Here is a 20208-nt window from a genome sequence, read left to right as displayed (position 1 = left end):
AGAAGAAAAGAAATAACAAAGATCAGAGCAGATCTAAATGAATTTGAAACAGCAGCAACAACAACAACAAAAATACCAAAGATCAATGACACTAAAAGTTGGTTTTTCAAAAAGATAAACAAAGTTGATAGACCATTAGCTAGATTAACCAGGAGAGGTTAAAGTAAGTTCAATTAGAAATGAAACTGGAGACTTTACAACCAACCCCACAGAAATAAAAAAGATCATTTGAGACCACTGTGAACACCTCTATGCACACAAACTAAAAAATCTAGAGGAAATGGATAAATTCCAGGAAACATAAACACTCCTAGATTAAGCCAGGAAGAAATAGAAACCCCGAACAGACCAAGAACAAGCAGTGCGATTGAATCACTAATCAAAACAATTGCCAAGAAAAAAAAATAGCTTGGGGCCACATGGATTCACAACTGAATCCTACCAGACATTCAGAGAACTGGGACCAATCCTACTGAAACTATTCCAAAAGATTAAGAAAGAGGGATCCTCCCTAACTCATTCTATGAAGCCAGTATCATTCTGATACCACAACCAGGAAAAGACATAAGAAAAAAAGAAAACTACAGACCAATACCCCTGATGAACATAGATGCAAAAATCCTCAACAAAATACTAGCTAATTCAAGCAGCACATCAAAAAGATAATACACCATGACCAAGTAGGTTTCATTCCAGGGATGCAGGGATGGTTTAAAATATGCAAGTCAATAAATGGGATACATCTGATAAAAGGAATTAAAAAGAAAAACTCTATGATCATCTGAATAGATGCAGAAAAAGCATTTCATAAAATCCAGCATCCCCGTATAAAAAAACTCAACAAACAGATATAAAAGGAACTTTACCTAAAACTAATGAAAGCCATATATGACAGACCCACAGCTAACATCATAATAAATGGGGAAAAGTTGAAAGTATTCCCCTTGAGAACTGGAACAAGACAAGGATGCCACTTTCACCACTTCTATTCAGCATAGTGCTGGAAGTCCTAACCAGAGCAATCAGGCAAGGATAAGAAACAAAGGGCATCCAAATTGAAAAAGAGGACATCAAGCTATTGCTGTTCATGAATAATATGACTGTATACCTAGAAAACCCTAAATACTCCTCCAAAAGACTCCTGGATTTGACAAATGAATTCCGTAGTCTCAGGTCACAAAATCAATATACACAAATCAGTAGCAGTGCTATACACCAACAATGACCATGCTGAGAATCAGATCAAGAACTCAGTCCTTTTCACAACAGCTGGAAAAAAATAAATTACCTAGGAATATATTTAACCAAGGAGGTAAAAGATCTCTACAAGGAGAACTACAAAACACTGCTGATAGAAATCATAGATGACACAAACAAATGGAAACACATCCCATGCTCATGGATTGGAATAATCAATATCATGAAAATGACCATACTACCCAAAGCAATCCACTGATTCAGTGCAATTCCTATCAAAATACCAACATCATTTTTCACAGAATTAGAAAAAACAATTCTAAAATTCATATGAAACCAGAAAAAGAACCTGAATAGCCAAAGCAATCCTATGCAAAAAAACAAACAAACAAGAAAACAGACGTAGAGGCATCACATTATCAGATGTTTGCCACAAGGCTGTAGTTACAAAAATAGTGCTGGTATAAAAGTAGGCACATAGAGCAGTGGAACAGAATAGAGAACCCAGAAATAAAGCCAAATACTTACAACCAACTGATCTTCAACAAAGCATAGAGAAACACAGGCTGAGGAAAGGACACCTTATTTAATAAATAATGCTGGGAAAACTGGATAACCACATGTAGAAGAATGAAACTGGATGCTTATCCCTTACCTTATACAAAAATCATCTCAAGATGGTTCAAAGATGTAAATCTAAGACATGAAACTATAAAAATTATAGAAGATAACCTAGGAAAAACTATTCTGGACATTGGCTTAGGCAAATAATTCGTGAGTAGGACCCCAAAAGCAAATGCAACTAAAATAAAAATAAATAAATAGGACCTAATTAAATAAAAGAAACTTCAGTACATTAAAAGAAATAACTATCAGAATAAATAGACAACCCACAGAGTGGGAGAAAATATCTGCAAACTATACATCTAGCAAAGGACTAATATCTAGAATCTACAATGAACTCAAGTACATCAACAAGAAAAAAAAATCCCATCAAAATGTGGGCAAATAACATGAATAGACATTTCTCAAAAGAGGATATAAGAATGGTAAAGAACATATGAAAAATGCTAAACATCACTGATCATCAGGAATATGCAAATTAAAAATACAATGAGATACTGCCTTACTCCTGCAAAAATAGCCATTATTAAAAAGTCAAAAAATAATAGATGTTGGCATAGATGTGGTGAAAAGGGAACACCTATACACTGCTGGTAGGAATGTAAATTAGTACAAACTGTATAAAAAACAATATGGAGATTTCTTAAAGAACTAAAAGTAGATCTGTCATTTGATTCAGCAATCCCACTACTCAGTATCTACCCAAAGGAAAATAAGTGATTATATTAAAGACACTTGCACGCATATGTTTATTGCAACACAATTCACAGTTGCAAACGTATGGAACCAATCTAAGTGTCCATTAACGAATGAGTGGATAAAGAAAATGTGATATATATACACCATGGAATACTACTCAGCCATAAAAATAATGAAATAATGTGTTTTGCAGTAACTTGGATGGAGCTAGAAGCCATTATTCTAAGTGAAGTACTCAGGAATGGAAAAACCAAAAACCGTATGTTCTCACTTATAAGTGGGAACCAAGATACGGGTATGCAAAGGCATACAGAATTCTATGATGGACTTTGGCGACTCAGAAGAGGGAGGGTTGAGGGGGGTGAGGGATTAAAAAACTACTTATTGGGTACAATGTACACTACTTGGATGATGGGTGCACTAAAATCTCAGACTTCACCACTATATAATTCATCCGTGTGACCAAAACCACTTGTACCCCAAAAACTATTGAAATAAAAAAATTTTAAAAACTGAGATTTTCATATAATGAGAATAGCCCCTGCATAATAACATTCATGAAAATCTCCTAGAAACATGGATTTGGCTTCTAATGGGACATTTGCTTACTCCAACCACATAGAGACTGGCCTCTTAAGATTAGGAAGCAGCTCACTCTATCCATAGCTGGCAGTACCCTGTGCTGTAGAAACTTAATTTTACTTTGTGATTGTGTGGTTAACTTTTCTGTATTAACCTGACTTTGACTTTAGACTTCATATGACCTATTTACCCAATCTTACACAGTTTTCAGTTTCCAGCCTATCTACTCAGTACCGTACTTTATTTTGTTTTTCTTAGACTGTCCTTGTTTTAAAACTGTGATCTTATTTCAACCAAGGTATAGCTGTTCTTAGCTTCCTTTGCATGCTGAGCCTGTCTTTCTTCACAGTGAGGAGGAACCCCTGACTACTCTTTCCTGGAAATCTTCATTCCCATAGGTCTTCTCTGCTGTCCCTATGATGGTATGGAGCCTGTTTTTATTATTTTCTACTCACTTAATTGCATCTTGATGAATTTCAGTACACAAAGTCACCATATTGTAGGTATATCTACAAAGGTGTTGTTATACTGGACCAGATGCAGTGGCTTATGCCTGTAATCCCAGCACTTTGGGAGGCTCAGGTGGGAAGATCACTTCAGGCCAGGAGTTTGATACCAGTCTGGGCAACAGTGAGACCCTGTCTCTACAAATAATTTTTAATAATTAGCTGGGCATGGTGGCACATGCCTGTAGTCCTAGCTGCTTGGGAGGCTGAGGTAGTTGAATCACTTAAGCCCAGGAGTTCAAGTCCAGCTTGAGTAACATAGCAAGGCCCCACCTCTAAAAAAAAATACAAATAAAATAAAGTTCTATTGGTTACTCTTTTTACTACCTTGTAAGGAATGTACAGCTTGTTCTTGTTAGGAAATTGGTAAGGAAAAATGTGAATTTCAGATTTGGGTATGTGGTGTTAGTGGAGGATCAGAAATCTATTGGATGAATTAAATCTGTCTTTTAAAAGCTACTTTCTACTAATGTGGGTTTTATGATCACCTGATGGATTAATTTGAGATCCATTAAGACCTAAGTGCCTTACTGGTTCCCAATTTAACAATTCTGTGGAATCCAAACTCTTATTTATTTTGATTTGTTTTTACTTTTTTGAGACACGGTCTCGCTCTGTCACCCAGGCTGGATTGCAGTTGTGCCATCTCAGCTCACTGCAACCTTGGCCTCCTGAGCCCTAGTGATCCTCCCACCTTAGCCTCCTGAGTATCTGGGACTACAGGCACACACCATCATACCTGGCTAATTTTTTTTTTCATATTTTTTGTAGACATGAAGTTTTACCATGTTGCCCAGGATGGTCTGGAATCCAGACTCTTGTCTGCAATTGATTTAATATAATTCTACAATATTTTTCCTTATTGCAAGGCAGAAAACCATAGACATTTGTAGCTTAAACCAATCTGAGTGCTTCCATTAAAAATTACAGGAAGATTATCAGTGAAGTGGTATTGCCTAGTAACATATTGCTCTCTAGGAGACAGAAAGCTTTTCCACCTGGTTTTTATGCCTAAGGTTATTTGTTATGCATGTTTGCCAAGATTAGTATTAAATTCCTTCTGTTGACTTTAGTAACACTTGTGATTTCTTTTATATGTTAGCATTGAACATTAAACTCTCATAATCTCTAGTTTTTTGATTTGTCTTTACACTAATCATGTTTTAAAGATACACGTCTATTTTTTAGTTAAAATGGCTTTGAATTTTATTTCACTAGATTTAAATTTTAAAGGAAATCATATCCTTCCAATTTGATTTAAATTGGTTATGGTTATTAATATTAAACATGTCTATTTTAGGCACCAGTTTTATTAGTTCGTGTACTCTTGGCTACATCACGATTAAAACTTTTCTTTCAGTTTCTTTCCAAAATAAACTGCAAGATTTCCTTGTTGACATTTTTTCATTTTTAAAAATCGTTTCGTTTTATTTCCCACCACCCCTGTTTATTATATGGATTGTGAAGCAAAGCATACAGGTGATAGTGAATTATCTTGTACAACAGCCTGGTCGCTTCTTTAAATTTCAGTTTTGTAAGTTGTTTTGCTCACCAAAGTGTCCTTTTCATGGGCTCTCATGCTCGTGAGTAGGGTTTTGTTGTCATCTGTATCTTGCTGTTACATCCAGTAAGTTTAACATTCATGGTAACGATATTTTTCAAGTGTTTCTACAGTGTAAGGGGCTCATTGGCTGCAAGATTGCTGTGAGGTATATTATAGATGATAGATACTATGATTTTCTGTTTATTTGTTTTATTTTTGTTGTTGTTGTTCTGAGACAGAATCTTGTTCTGTCACCCAGGCTGGAGGACAGTGGCATAATCTTGGCTCACTGTAAGCTCTGCCTCCTGGGTTCAAGCGATTCTTGTGCCTCAGCCTCCCAGGTAGCTGGGATTACAGGCATGTGGCACTATGTCTGGCTAATTTTTGTATTTTTAGTAGAGATAGGGTTTCTCCATGTTGGCCAGGCTGGGCTTGAACTCAGGACCTCAAGTGATCCACCCACCTTGTCCTCCCAAAGTGCTAGGATTACAGGCATGAGCCACCGCACCCAGGTGGTAGATATTGTGATATCAAGGGAAAATATTGATGCCAGGAAAGACCTTAACATCAGAATAAGTTATTTTCACAAGAAATATTTTTGATATAGATACATGTGGCAAAATAAAACTATTAGATTATTAACTATGAAAACCAATTTTGTTAGAATTTTGAAGAATACTATGCATCTACTTTTTAACAACTTAATTTTTTTTTTTTTTTTTTTTGAGATGGAGTCTCAGTCTGTGGTCCAGGCTGGAGTGCAGTGGTGCAATCTCGGCTCACTGAAAGCTCCGCCTCCCAGGTTCACGCCATCCTCCTTCCTCAGCCTCCCGAGTAGCTGGGACTACTGGCACCCACCACCATGCCCAGCTAATTTTTTGTATTTTGTTTAGTAGAGATGAGGTTTCACCGTGTTAGCCAGGATGGTCTCGATCTCCTGATCTCATCATCCTCCCACCTTTGGCCTCCCAAAGTGCTGGGATTACAGGCGTGAGCCACCGCACCTGGCCAACAACTTAATTTTTAATGATGTTCTCTCTATTAAGCAGTTTTCTAGAACTATTAATAAACAATAAAGTGATCTTTTTTTCCTCCTTTTTCTGCCAAATTGATAAGAATCAGAATGGTAAGAAGGAAAGAAATCTTAAAGTCTGAATAATCAGTAAGTTAAGTGATGATCCTCTGAACAATTCAGAATTTACTACATATACATTCTATAACCATCTCTGTTAAAGATTTTATAGTATATATTCAGAAGATCAAACAGATGTTTCATAGCTGTATATACACATATATACACATATGTATATTTTTGCATATACATAAATTATTTAATTGAGGTACATACATATGCCAACTAAATATTTTGATTATTTATTTTATTATAATATAATCTTAGGCTCTGGGGCAAGCAAAACTGGGTTTGAAATTCAGTTCTATCACTTACTAGTTATTAAGGCATATTGTTTAATCCTTGAATATAGATACTCAACATCTATAAAATGAAGATTATACTAGTACTTTCCTCATAGGCATTATCTTAGTTCATTTGAGCTGCTACAATATAAATACCATAGACTGGATGTCTTAAACAACAAACATGTATTTCCCACAGTTCTCCATAGTGGGAAGTCCAAGATCAGGTCCTGCAGGTTCAGTTTCAGGTCAGGGCCCATGGTTTTCTTCATAGATGACACCTTCTCACTGTGCCTTTACATGGTGAAAGAGGCAAGAGAACTCTCTGGAGCTTCTTTTATAAGGGCACTAATGCCATTCACATGGGCTTTGTTCTTGCTATCTAATCACCTCTTCCCCACAAAGGCCCTACCTTTATCACATTGGGAGTTAGGATCTTAATTTCAGAGGGTCACAAATATTCAGTCCATAGCAGCGTTGTGAGGATTATGTGTAATAATATGTGACTAGCTTACACCATGTATAGATGAGAAAAAACTAGCTGTTTCCCCAAATTTGTGTTATCCTTTCATTGTGTAGACTTCCTTCTGGGAAGTAACTCTTTTTTCTTGGAGACTTTATTTCCTAACTTTACTGAGTTTGTTGAAAAGTTATCTCTCTAATTTGAATTGCTTTTGCACTTTTGTAAAAAATCAGTTGGACATATTTGTGTGGTTCTATTTTGGGATTTTTTTGTTCTGTTCCATTGATCTCTATCACTGACAATACTACACCATCTTTCGGTTATTGCAGTTAATAATGAACCATGAAATTGAGTAGACTGATTACCTCACATTTTTCTTTTTTGAAATTGTTTTAGTTATTCTAGTTCCTTTATCTTACCATATAATTTTAGAATAATCTTATCTATTGCTACAAAAAAAACTTGCTGGTATTTTGATAACAATTTTGTTAAACTTATTTGTCAATTTAGGGAGAATTGACATCTTTATTGTGTGAAGTATTCCCTGAACACTGTATGCTCTTCATTTATTTAGCTCTTTCATCCAGCATTTTGTAGTTTTCATACACAAGTTCTATACATTTTTGGTTAGATTCACACCCAATTTTATTTTCTTTTTGAGTGATTATAAATGCTATTATAGTTTTAGTTTCAGTGTTCAAGTATTTATTGCCAGTGTGTAGAAATACAACTGATCTAGTATGTTTACCTTGTATCTTTCAACCTTGCTGAAATAATTAGTTCTAGATTTTTTTTTAGGCTATTTGGGATTTTCTATATAGACAGTCATGTCATATACAAATAGAGACAGTTATATTTCTGCCTTTCTTGTCTGTATACTTTTTATCTCCTTTTCTTGTCTGGTTGCACTGACTTGAATTTTCCAGCACCATGTTGAATCAGAGCAATGAGAATGGACATTCTTGCCTTGTTTACTGTCTTGCATGGAAAGCATTCAGTCTTTCACTATTATGTTAGTTGTAGGTTTCTGTAGATGCTGTTTATGAAGATGGGGAAGTTGCCTTCTATTTCTATTTTTTTCTTACAGTTTTTTTGATTTATGAGTGCTGTATATTTTCAAATGTTTTTTTCTGTATCAATATATGCAGATATATATCTATAGATAGATATGTGATCAACATATATTGATGTGTTCATGTGATTTTTCTTCCTTAGCCTGTTAATATATTGGTTGATAGTTTGAATAATGTACCAGGCTTGCATATCTGAAATTAACGTCTCTTGGTCATGGTGTATAATTCTTTGTATATGTTGCTAAATTTATAAAATTTAAAATTTATTGGAAATTATAAAATTTCTAAAATTTTAACATTTGGAAATAATTTTTATGTTTAGCCAGATACAGTGGTATGTGCCTGTAATCCCAGATATTTAGGAGCCTGAGGCAGGAATATTGTTTGAGCCTAGGAGTTCAAGACCAGGCTAGTCAACATAGTAAGACCCTTTCTCATATTAAGTAAATAAATTATTGTTTTAAAATTTTTTAAAAAGTATTTTTATATTTATATTTATAAGGGCTATTGGAGTGTAGTTTCGTTTTTTGTACTGTCTTCATATGATTTCAATATCAGGATAATACTAGTTTTATAAAGTGAATTGGGAATTATCCTATGTATACAATTTTGAATTGCACTAACATTGTACTTTGAATTTTTTTCTATGCAATTAAATAATATTTGAAAATGTGATTTTTAAAGTCTGAGTAAAAAGTTAGTTGTAGGAACTTATTCTTCTTTATCTAACTTTTTCCTGTTTTTTATTATTTAGAACTTAAAATTTTTTTATTACTAATAATTCTATGGTGAGCATCTTCCTATATATCGTGTGAACTTGTCCTATTTATTCTTAGAATTTGTAATAGATATAGATTATAAATTTCTTTTCATATTGATTGAAGCATAGTGTTTAATATTTAGATTAGATTAAATTTCATATTTAGATTAGGGTTAATATGTAATCATTTTTTTATTATCATTAATGAGACCCTTTTATGGATCTGCAAGACCAAAGCTGATTTCATACTTAATTGCCTTTTTTAATGTGTTGTCATTTGCACTGATGGTGCAAAAGCGATGGTGAACAAAACTGCCACTGCCTTAGAACGAATCAAGGCAGTGGCACCAAACTGTGCTAGTAGTTACTGTATTTTTAACCATCATGCATCTGCAGGGGGAAAAAAAAGCCATACTTAGTTAAGAATATCTTAGATGCAGTAAAAATAATTTTATTACTTTTTGATCCTCAAATATAGGTCTTTTTAATACTCTGTGTGAAGTAATGTGAAGTACACATAAAGCTCCATATAATGGTTTTAAGGAAAAGCATTTGTGAGTAATCCTATTCACAATTGTTTGCACTGTCAGCTCAATTAGATGCTTTTTCTTTTATGGAATACCATTTTTACTTGAAAGAATGACTGACAGACAAATTGTGCTTATTCAGACTTGGGTATTTGGCAGGCGTTGTCTTTCAAATTAAGTAAGCCTATCATATCAAAGAAAACAACTGACAATAGCCTTTGCCAAAGATAAAATCCAAGTGAAGATAAACTACAAAGGAAAACTAAACTTAGAACCTTGGAAAACTGTATTCACCACTTTCAGTTTGACAACTTCCCAATACATTGTATAACAGAATAGAAAGACTATTCTGATGAAATTGGTGATGATATTAACAAATTTTTAATTGATTTTTGACGTATAATGAAATGAATCAGCATTTGGAAAATCTGCATAACTCAGTGAGCTGGTATTTGCCAAATGATTAATGTGTGATATTAAAAATCATGTCTGAGTCATATCATAGTTTCATTCGAAGTACATACAAGATAGACCAGTGGATTTTAATGTAACAGGGTAAAAAAAAGTTTATTGATAAAGGTTTTAGATTATACATTGCAACAAACTTTTAAGAAGCTACCACTTATCAAGTAAAGGAAAATATACACAGTTATTGTAAAAGATTATTAAAATATTCCACTATTTTTCAACTAAATATACTCCAACCAAAACAACATATGGCAACAGATTGAAAGCTGAAGTAAATGTGAGAGTCCAGCTGCCTTTTATTAAATGAGACATTAAAGAGATTTTTAAAAAATGTAAAACAATATCTCTCTTCTCACTAATTAAAAAAAATACTATAATCTCTTCCTGACCTTTTGGCTTAGATCACATTTTTAAAAAATTATAATTTTCCTCACAAAATGTTATTTATGTTAACATTTAAAGGATTTTTGTTATATTTAAATATTTTAAAATTTTGTTTTAACTCATAATAAATATGGATAGAGATAACCTATATAAAGGCTAAGAAACTACCACTTGTCAAGTAAAGGAGAATAAGCACACTTTAACTTATATTATAATAAATATTGATAGAGATAACCTATATAAAGGTCTTCAGTACTATCTAAGAGCTAAAGGGTCTATGTGACCAAAATGTTTGAGAACTTCTGGCCTACAGGATAAAATCCAAACCTCTGTATATGGTCCATAAGTCCTTCTATCATGGCTTCTGCCACCTCTGCTCCCTTCTCTTCTGTCTCATTTCCTTTCCACTCTATTATTCAGTAAGATGAAGATACTTTTATTCCAGAACTATGGTGTTTTACATCTCCTTACCTTTGCTTAATGTTCCTTTTGCCTTGAATATGTATTCTTCTCCAGCTCTTTATATAAAGTACTGTCTCCAAATGCCTCTTGGCATCATTTCAGTTCTAACCTCTCTGTACCTCTTATTCTGTCTTTATAACTCTATCTGTTGGTATGCAATCCCATGTCACTAATTTTGTGCAGGGAGTTTATTTTACTCATTCAGCCATTGGATATGCTGCATCCTCAAGATCTGATCAGTTTCCTACTCTATAAATGCTATTTAGTATGTTTTGGGTTTCTATGTCCAAAATAATTCAGTGTCTTTCCCCTTATTAATTTGGTTTCATCATTATTTGTTTTCTTCTTAAAAGTATTGTCATTCTTCCATTCACTTGGATTCAAAATCTTGAAATCATCTTTTATCCTTCTTTCATCTTCATACTCTGTATCCAGTTTAATCCCATTGCTTCTTGTGTGAAAATATCTTATATTCACTACCTCCTTTCTCTACTGCTGCCATCCACGCTTTGAAGCTCAAAATAAGAGAGAAAATATTTAAATATATCATGGCCTATTTTTTTCCAATCAGCATTCTAAATGATTTCAAAAGCTTTTGCTATTCTTTCCACTACTTATTCTTTTCTTCAGACCAGCTTGCTCATCACTATTGCATTAGTGACCTTCCTAAAATACTACTTTAGTTTTGTATTTTCTCACTCAACATTTTTGTTGACTTCTCATTTCTTTTGGCAGTGTTTCTTTTTGAAGGAAAACTATTCTCATGGACGCTCAGTGTTGACATAAATTATTTTAATTTTTAGTAATACAACTTAAATATGTCCAAATATAAAACTAAATACAAACTTTTGCACATACAAGTGCATGGCTAAAATAATTTGCAAATTCGTAGCAAGGAAAATATAAAACAGAATTTAACATAATAGCATTAATGTGACAGAAGATGTTATTTGCCATAAAAACAAGCTTAACGTGAATATAGTACAGACTCTGAGTTAGGCATGAGCCTGTTCTACTGTGATGACTCAGTTAATCCACCACTTTTCTGTCTTTGAGCTTCTGAGAACCTTTGTTTCTACAGCATGCTATGATATCATTTGGCCTTCATTTGGTACAGATGTATCATTTGAGAAACAGATCCACCTCTGGCTTTTTCTCACCCCTCAGCCTGCTACAATTAAAATAGCACTACTTGGCTATGGTAAGATAGTAAATACGAATGCACATTCAGACACTAATAGTACATGGTGATTTAGGGTCACTCGGTAAGATCCAGATGATCCAGAATATGGTGTGTGTGTGTGTGTGTGTGTGTGTGTGTGTGTGTGTGCCTTTGTGCATGTATGTGTAAGAGACAGAGTTTTAGTTGACTTGAAAAAAAGAAACTTAGACTTTTATAGGAAACAAATGGAATCTCAAAGTCAGCCCCATTTGCCCAGAGACTATAGACTCCAATATAGAAACCACTCATCTGTAGGATAAAGACTATATTCCTCATGTTGGTATCCAAGGCCTTTATCGATTTGAATTCAATCTCTTTTCCTTTTTTATTTGTTTTTCTTTTCTGTCTTCTTACTGTCTTTTAAATATGCTCATACTTTCCCAGATGTGTGCCTTCTCTCCTATCCCTGTATAAGCCCATCTGTCCACAGCCTTTAAGGACCATTCATGCTTTTCATTTCCCCGTGAAGCTTCTTCCTATCTCTTCAGTTACAATTTGATTTTTCTCCTTCTTTGAACTCTTGTTTGAATTCCTTCTGTATCTGGTACTTTGGCATTTCGTTTCTTTGTATTAAATAATGCCATTTATAATTGTTTGATTTTTATGTTCTCTATATCACCTAGACTTCAGGGGCTTTAAAGGCAAAATATTATCTTAAAAGTTTTTTGCATAAACCTCAGAACCATTGTTGATATTCTTGAAGCACTTACAAAGGAAATCAAATGATTAGATTTAATGCTCAGTATTAGGGATTTAATTTAGTTTCTCTTGCAAAATATGTGTTTTTTTAAATATAGAGTATAAACAAAAAGTACTTTGCTATAAAAAATTTGCATTTCTAAGAAACTAAAATGTCTTAAAATTTTGTATTTTTTCACTCATTGTCCTTCATTTTCAGGACTGTTGGGAAAGATCCTGATGGCTATCCGAGATGCAGGTTTTGAAATCTCAGCTATGCAGATGGTAGGTAGTTTACAATGAACCATAATATTTGTGAGGATTTTTTTCAAAAATAGTTATAAAATGCTTTACATTGAATGTTCCCTGTGTACTCATGAACCACATTAAAAATAAAAGACATACTTACTGAACTCAGTAACCTTCCTGTAGTCAAAAAATGGTTTTTGAAATGATTTTTCCCATATAATATTTTACTGAGAGAAGTAATATTCAATGATACACCTAATTTAAGCTTATAAGGTAAGTTTATACAATTCTGGAAACTTTAGTTGCAAAATAAATAAGGACCAAAAACTGTATTTTGTTCTTATAAACAAAAAGTAGAATCAAAGTGAGAAATTGTGATGAGTTTTCTGTCTTCTGGATTCTTCACTAAACAAATAATGAAGGAAGAGAATCAGTTCAGATTTTTTTTCCCTAACCAGTGCCTTTTGCTGGTTTTTGGACTTTCTCTCAAGACTGTCTTTGGAGTTAGTGTATTCTAGCAACTCTGTTGGCACTTGTACCGCTGCACCTTCAGAGCCCACGCTTGTTCAAAATTGCGTTGTTCATACACTCCTAGGAAACCTTTCAGTGAGAAACAACACCCACTTTGGTAGAGGTCATACCTTTGTGCTGTACTCATCGGTACATTTGACTAGAAATTGGGCAACAGATTATTATATAAATCAGATAAACAATTTGGTTTTTACAGTGTTTGAAGCCCAGCAAGTTTGTGCTTTTTTGATAGTGAAATACCAAAATAGCCATTTTGAAGCTGAGAATTTTCTTACTGGTATTATTTGTATTTTATTTTCTGAAAAGAAACAGCTTTCTAAAGTCTTAAGATTACCCAAAATCAAGGACCAGGACACAAACTGGAGTTCTATTTTGTGCCAATAAGCCAAAAAAGAAAAAAAAAAAAGGGAAATAGTTTACAAAGTCATTGAGCAAAACTTAAAGACTAATGAGAAAACTGATATTTGAAGAATCTTACCTAGAATTATAAAGTAATTGTCAGCCAAAACTTTCTAAAAGTATTAGCTTGGTGATATATTAACAAGATTGTAGGATGACATGTAAGCCTATTTAAAAAAATATAGAAATGTTAGTTTTAAACACTGACCTAATTCTAGATCTACAGTTTAGCATAGTGATTGGTGATTGGGTATAGTTTGTACTAATGAAAAAAATAATTTTAAAAATGATTAATTGAGCCTATAGGTAAGGCATGGTAGTGTAGTAGCAAACACAGTCGTGGACTTGTGGAGTCAGAAAGATCTATTTCTGAATCTTGGGTCAGCTGTTTTCTAGGCATGTGGCCTTGGCCAAATGTCAAGCATTCTTATTCTCAGTTTTCTCATCTAGGCAATGAAAGCATTAGTATCTGCCTAAATGGGTTACTCAGCAGATTAAATAAAATAATCATTTCTGGCTCAAATTCTAAGTATTTAATAAATGATATCTTCTATTAGTATTTTGTTGCATTTAGCAAAACATATGTGAATGTTGGATAAAACACTGAAATCCAACAGAATTTCCTCCCTATGGTAGTAATGTTGCCCATAAAAATAAATCCTCCTAGCTTAAATGATTGTCCATATTGGCAGAAATTTCTCAGTGGGTCTTCAATCCTGGCAACAATAAACAAGCAAAATGGAGGGAAAATAAAACTGGGAATTCTGAGGCTACTTTTTAAAAAAAATAAGGTCTTAGTTTTTGAGAACCTTAGAATTTAACGAAATTTTATTCCTAACTAAATTTAAATTCAGCCTTGATAAGAATAAGTCCCTCTAGACTTACTTTGTAAGCACACTTTTACAGTTCTTTTTGAAGAGTAGCAGGAAGTCCACATGACTTGTATAAATGCTTTAACACAAACCAGACTAACTAGGGATTTTTCCGAATGCTTGGGAGGAAAATGGTATTGTTTTCTGTTTCCTCTAAAAGTCTGAACTACTTTTCTTTAGTAATATTTCTTTCTTGTGCCACTAATCTATCAATAGTATAATTAATATTGCATATAAATCTTCTTTTGTATCAAGAATGAGGTTTTATTCAGAGAGAGGTGTAGTGTAGTAGGTAAAAGTATTATCAATGGGGTCAGACTGCTTGAGATAGGATGCCAGTTTGAGGAAGTTGTATGACTCCTCTGAGTCTTAGTAGTCTCATCTGTAAGTTGGAGCCATTAATACTACCTATGCAGTAAGGTGGTTGTGAGGGCTAAATGAGATGATGCACGTATAGAACCTAGAGTGATGCTGTTATCCATTATTATTCTTGATGAGTTGATGTTTAATAACACTTTTTCTTCAAAGAGTAATCTATGTAAAGTTTATGTTTTAGAGTAAAGAAGAGATTACAAGTGTTAAGTGCTAAGTGTGGCTTATTTATTTCCCTTTTGTTGGTTGGTTTATGGTTTTGTTTTGTTTTATTTTTTAATATAGTTCAATATGGATCGGGTTAATGTTGAGGAATTCTATGAAGTTTATAAAGGAGTAGTGACCGAATATCATGTAAGTATAAAAGTAAATGTAAAACATTTGTACTGTTAAGTGAAAAGTATAGGATGCAGTGTTTTGGACTAAGCTCCTGTACTAGGTCCCAAATGGCCAGACTGAAAATCAATACAGAGTCATTCATACTAAAGTTCTGTGTCAACGACCTAGGTTGTTATCTGACCTTCTGAGAAATCAGGAGAGAGCGAGCCAAATTTCCCAAACAGGCTAATTTTGTTTGGTATAATAATGAAGTTTTCTCTGTCTTTCATCCATACAACAAAAAGTAACCTGAGGTAACCTGATGTTAACCAGTCAGTTATTTCCACATTACATTCTTCAAACTGTATACCTTTCATATCTCCCAAAATTCATTGCAACCAGCCTGCAGCTTCCTAAATTCAGTTCTCTTCTTTTTTCTTCCCCCTCTGTAGAGTCAGATGCTAGGTTCAGATCTTAAATCTTCTAGTTATATGACCATCGACAATTTATTTACCTTCTTTAAACCTTGATTAACCCATTTATAAAATGGGAATAATGCTATTACCTACCTTATGAGATTGTTGTGGGAATTAAATGAAATAAATTATGTAAAACTGTCTCACATATTAAAAGTACTCAGTAAATATTACCTGCTATTATTGTTGTTTTTATTATTATTTAGTCTGATATAATTCTTTGGTAGTAGATTCCGTGTTGATTATTTACACCTGTATTTTCTGCTTCAACATGTACAGTCATAAAAAGGTGATAATTCCTATCTCATGCTGTTACTATGATCCACACTTATTATATATATTGAGTATCTGCTATAAGCCAAATAATCAGTGATGAACAAAAAACATACTGCCTGCATTTATGGAGCTTATGCTCTGGAGAAGATAGACATGAAATCAAATGATCCTACACATAGCTACCTAAGGACAGCAGTCAAAAGGCTGTAAAGGAAACAGAAAGGTTGTTTTTTTGTTTAAAAAATTTGTGACTTAATTAAAAACTAGGGTGACTTAAAAATTCTGAGTCAATTTTTGAAGGAACATGTTATGCTTTTGATGAAGTTCTTTGTTTAACATGTTTTTTCTTTCCATTTTATACATTTTGACAGCCTTGTATGTCTATTTTCAGTGGTATCTGTAATCAACACTGAAAGAGAATGAGTGAGAGAGACAAAGAAAGAAAAAAGGAAGGAGGGAGAGAGAAAAAGAAGAAAGAAAGAAACAAAGGAAAAAAAGGAGGGAGAGGAAAAGGAAGGAAACAAGGAAGGGAGGGAGAAGAGCAGACAAAATTTACTCTTCTGTTTTTGGAAAACTTGTTCATGCCTTCTGCTCCTTCTGAAAATTTGGCTTTGACATTTGTGTGTAGGCAGTACTTCAATATCAGAGGCAGAAAATCAGACTCAATATAATTATCCATAAAAAATCAATTACATATGACCTTTGTGAAATAGCAAAATGGCTTTGGGGGATACACTCAGGAACTCTAATGAGTAGAGTTATGAGTACCATATAAATTTTGAAGTCCTTTTCCTCCTCTTTTAGCTTCTGTAGTTTGTATTAGCTGAGATGACTGCTTTTGGATCAATATTCAAATATATTCTGTAATAAATTATTTTACTTTGATGTTGTGTATCGTAAATCCTCAAAGTCATGAAAATGGTTTACATGACCCTGCATGGTCTGGCCTCATCTCTTACTACTTTCCCGTAGTCTCACTCAGCTCCTAGCCTCTAAGCTGATCTTCATATATCCCTACTGTACTTCTGCCTCAAAGTCTTTATATCCATTTTCACTTCTGCCTAAAGTATTCTTTCCTATTCAAGAGGGTGAAAAAAATTATTTTTGAGTGTTCTAGACACTATGAGAGGCATTTTTCTTGGATCATGTTTTTCATTATACAGCTTTATATAGAGAGCTAAGAATCTTAAAACAGTATACTTATATTTTTCCCCTATTATTCTGTGTGCTGTTGTTCTCATACATTTTACATCTATATATGCTATAAACCCAACAATACAATGCATTTCTTTGAACAATTATGTTTGAAAGCAACTGAAAATACAAAAATTAGCTAGATGTGGTGGTGGGTGCCTGTAGTCCCAGCTACTCAGGAGGCTGAGGCGTGAGAATAGCTTGAACCCTGGAGGCTGAGGTTGCAGTGAGCCAAGATCGTGCCACTGTGCTCCAGCTGGGCAACAGAGCAAAACTCTGTCTCAAAAAAAAAAAAAAAAAAAAAAAAAGAAAAGAAAACAACAGAAAGGAAAAAAAAGAAAAATAAAGCAACTAAAAAATAAAAATGCATTTTATGTTTATACTTGACATGTTTACTGTTGCTTTGTATAGATTTATATTTTTGTCTGGCATTTTTTTCCTTCTGCCTAAAGAACTTCCTTTAATATTTCTTATTATATAATGCTTCTGATGGTGAATTGTATCAGGTCTTTTTTGTCTTAAAACGTCTTCCTTTTTTCTTCATTTTTGAAAAATATTTTCCCACCTGGGTATAGAATACAGATTTACATTTTTTGGTCATCATTGTTGTCATCCTTATCTTTTTCCCACTGTTATATAATGTTCTTTCCCCTGCCCCCCCCCCAACACCCTGGCTGCTTATAAAGCTTTTTGTTTTTGTTTTTAGCTAATTTTATTATTTTGCATCCTAATGTACTTCTCTTTACATTTATTATCCTTGGGTTCTGTTGGATCTATAGGTTTATGGGTTTCAGCAAATTTGGAAAGTTTTTAGCACTTATTTTAAAAAATATATTTATGTTTATCACCTTTTCTTCTCTTCTGAGATTCTAATTACACATATAATAGACAGCTTGACATGGTTGCACAGCAGGGCTTTTTTCTTCTTCTTCATTTTTCTTTCTCTCCATGCTTATTTTTGAATAGTTTCTATTGAATGTCTTCAAATTTATTGCTCTTCTGCAGTGTCGTATCCTGTTCACCCCATTCAGTGTATTTTTAAATTTAGATGTCTTAGATTATATCTCTAGACGTTGTATTTGGATCTTTTAAATATTTTTTATTTTCTCCTCACCAAGTTTATATTTCCTTGTATAATTTGAGAATGTGGAGCTTATAATAGCTGTTTGGATATCCTTTTTATGTCATTTATTTAATTGCTGGGTCTATTTATTGAGTTTTCTTCTGGTAATGGTTAGTATTTTCCTACATATTTGCCTGCCTGGTAATTTTTTTACTGGATACTGTATATTGTAAAATTTACATTGTTACATGGTAGATTTGTAAAGAGTGCTCAATTTTGGTCTGGCACCTAGTTAAATCACTTGGAATCAATTTGAAACTTTTGAGTCTTGCTTTTAATCTTTGTAGGATGGGTATAGAGCATCTTACAATCTAGGGCTAATTTAGGCCAACTGCTATGGTGCAGTACCCTTCTGAGGACTCTCCTTGATGCTCCATATATCATATAAAAAGGCCTTTCACTCTGGCTGGTAGAAACATAAACTCTTCTCAGCCTTGTGCTGTCTCTGAGTTGTTTGGTCTACTTTCTGGCAATTCTTTCCCCAGCCTCAAGTAGTTTGCTGTACACATGTGACAGATTAGTAGCCAAAGACTCATGGGAACTCCTCTGCAGATCCTGTAGCTTATTTTCTGCATACTCCCCTCATCTCTCCAGTATTCTTTCCTGAAAATAAGGCTACATTGGCCTCCCCGAAGTGCAATCTTTGTCTTTTCAACTCAGAGAACGTTGGGCTCTGTTGTGTTTCCTCTACCTGGTCTACTGGTCTGGAAACTGCCTCTAGACAGTAAGACAGAGCAATTCTACAGCTCACCTAATCTGTTTCCATACTTTCAGGGGTCATAGACCTGTGCTGCCCATCACCCAGTGTATGAAAACTATTGTTTCGTATATTTTATCTAGTTTCTAGATGTTTAATATGGGAGAATAAATCTGGTCCTATTATTTCTTGTTGCTAGAATGCATTATGATTTTTAAAAGGTTTTTTAGGATAAAACCTTTGAAATTTATATATATATATTTAGTAATGTGAATTCAACAACATTGTATTCAAGAAGGCCTTTGCAAGGAAGATATACTAGAAGATCATTCCAAATAATGAAAGTGTCGGATGATAAAGCATTATATTAAAATGTGATAGGAATGGAGAAGAGAGAGCATATCTAAAAAATATTCTTCAAGGAAAAATGGACAGAATTTGGGAACTGCTTGATATGTGGGATATAAGTGGGGAAGAAGTCACAGATGACTTTAAGGACATTAGTGGAACAGTGAAACAATTAAAAGGGGAGAGTTAAAAATTGTTAAATTCTTTTCATTCTTTTATATTACATATCATAGGACATGGTGACAGAAATGTATTCTGGCCCTTGTGTAGCAATGGAGATTCAACAGAATAATGCTACAAAGACATTTCGAGAATTTTGTGGACCTGCTGATCCTGTAAGTTATTGTTTAAAATATTATCCTAGTTTGTGTTATCTATTCACTATTTTAACAGGTTTAAAATTTTTCGTTTGTTCCTTTAAGTAAATAATGTAAAAATGAATATAATATACAAAGTTTTAATTCAAAATGGCACTTCATAAAATTTATTTTTACATAACATTCCAAGAAAGATAATTTTTTTTGTTAACTTAGTGACAATATAGAATAGGCAGAAGCATTTACTATCGCATTTTCTTTTTTTCTTTCTTCTTGCTAAATTGTCCAGGTAAATACATTTTGCAAGCTTCATAATAGAAATTATCTAAGGTATTATATATCCTTTGACATAGGGGGGCCATAAATAAAGCTTTTATAATACAGTGGCAACATACCAATACATAAATAAATATGGGCAATAAGACTTATGTG

General features: G+C 33.6%; 1 protein-coding gene across 3 annotated transcripts in view; it reads left to right on the top strand.

Moving 5' to 3' along the window:
* Positions 1 to 20208, top strand: part of NME7 (NME/NM23 family member 7) — a 235267-nt gene that overhangs the window by 117286 nt on the left and 97773 nt on the right. For all 3 annotated transcript variants that reach the window (NR_104229.2, NM_197972.3, NM_013330.5), the window contains exons 8-10: positions 12825 to 12889; positions 15313 to 15381; positions 19693 to 19794. Coding sequence is in view for 2 of the 3 variants with exons in the window: in NM_197972.3 (NP_932076.1) it covers positions 12825 to 12889; positions 15313 to 15381; positions 19693 to 19794 (236 nt within the window). In the remaining variant the exon portion in view is untranslated. The remainder of the gene's footprint in view (positions 1 to 12824; positions 12890 to 15312; positions 15382 to 19692; positions 19795 to 20208) is intronic.

Source organism: Homo sapiens, chromosome 1, assembly GCF_000001405.40.
Source record: "Homo sapiens chromosome 1, GRCh38.p14 Primary Assembly".
Classification (NCBI taxonomy): Eukaryota; Metazoa; Chordata; class Mammalia; order Primates; family Hominidae; genus Homo; species Homo sapiens.
This window is presented reverse-complemented; position numbering and strand designations above follow the sequence as displayed.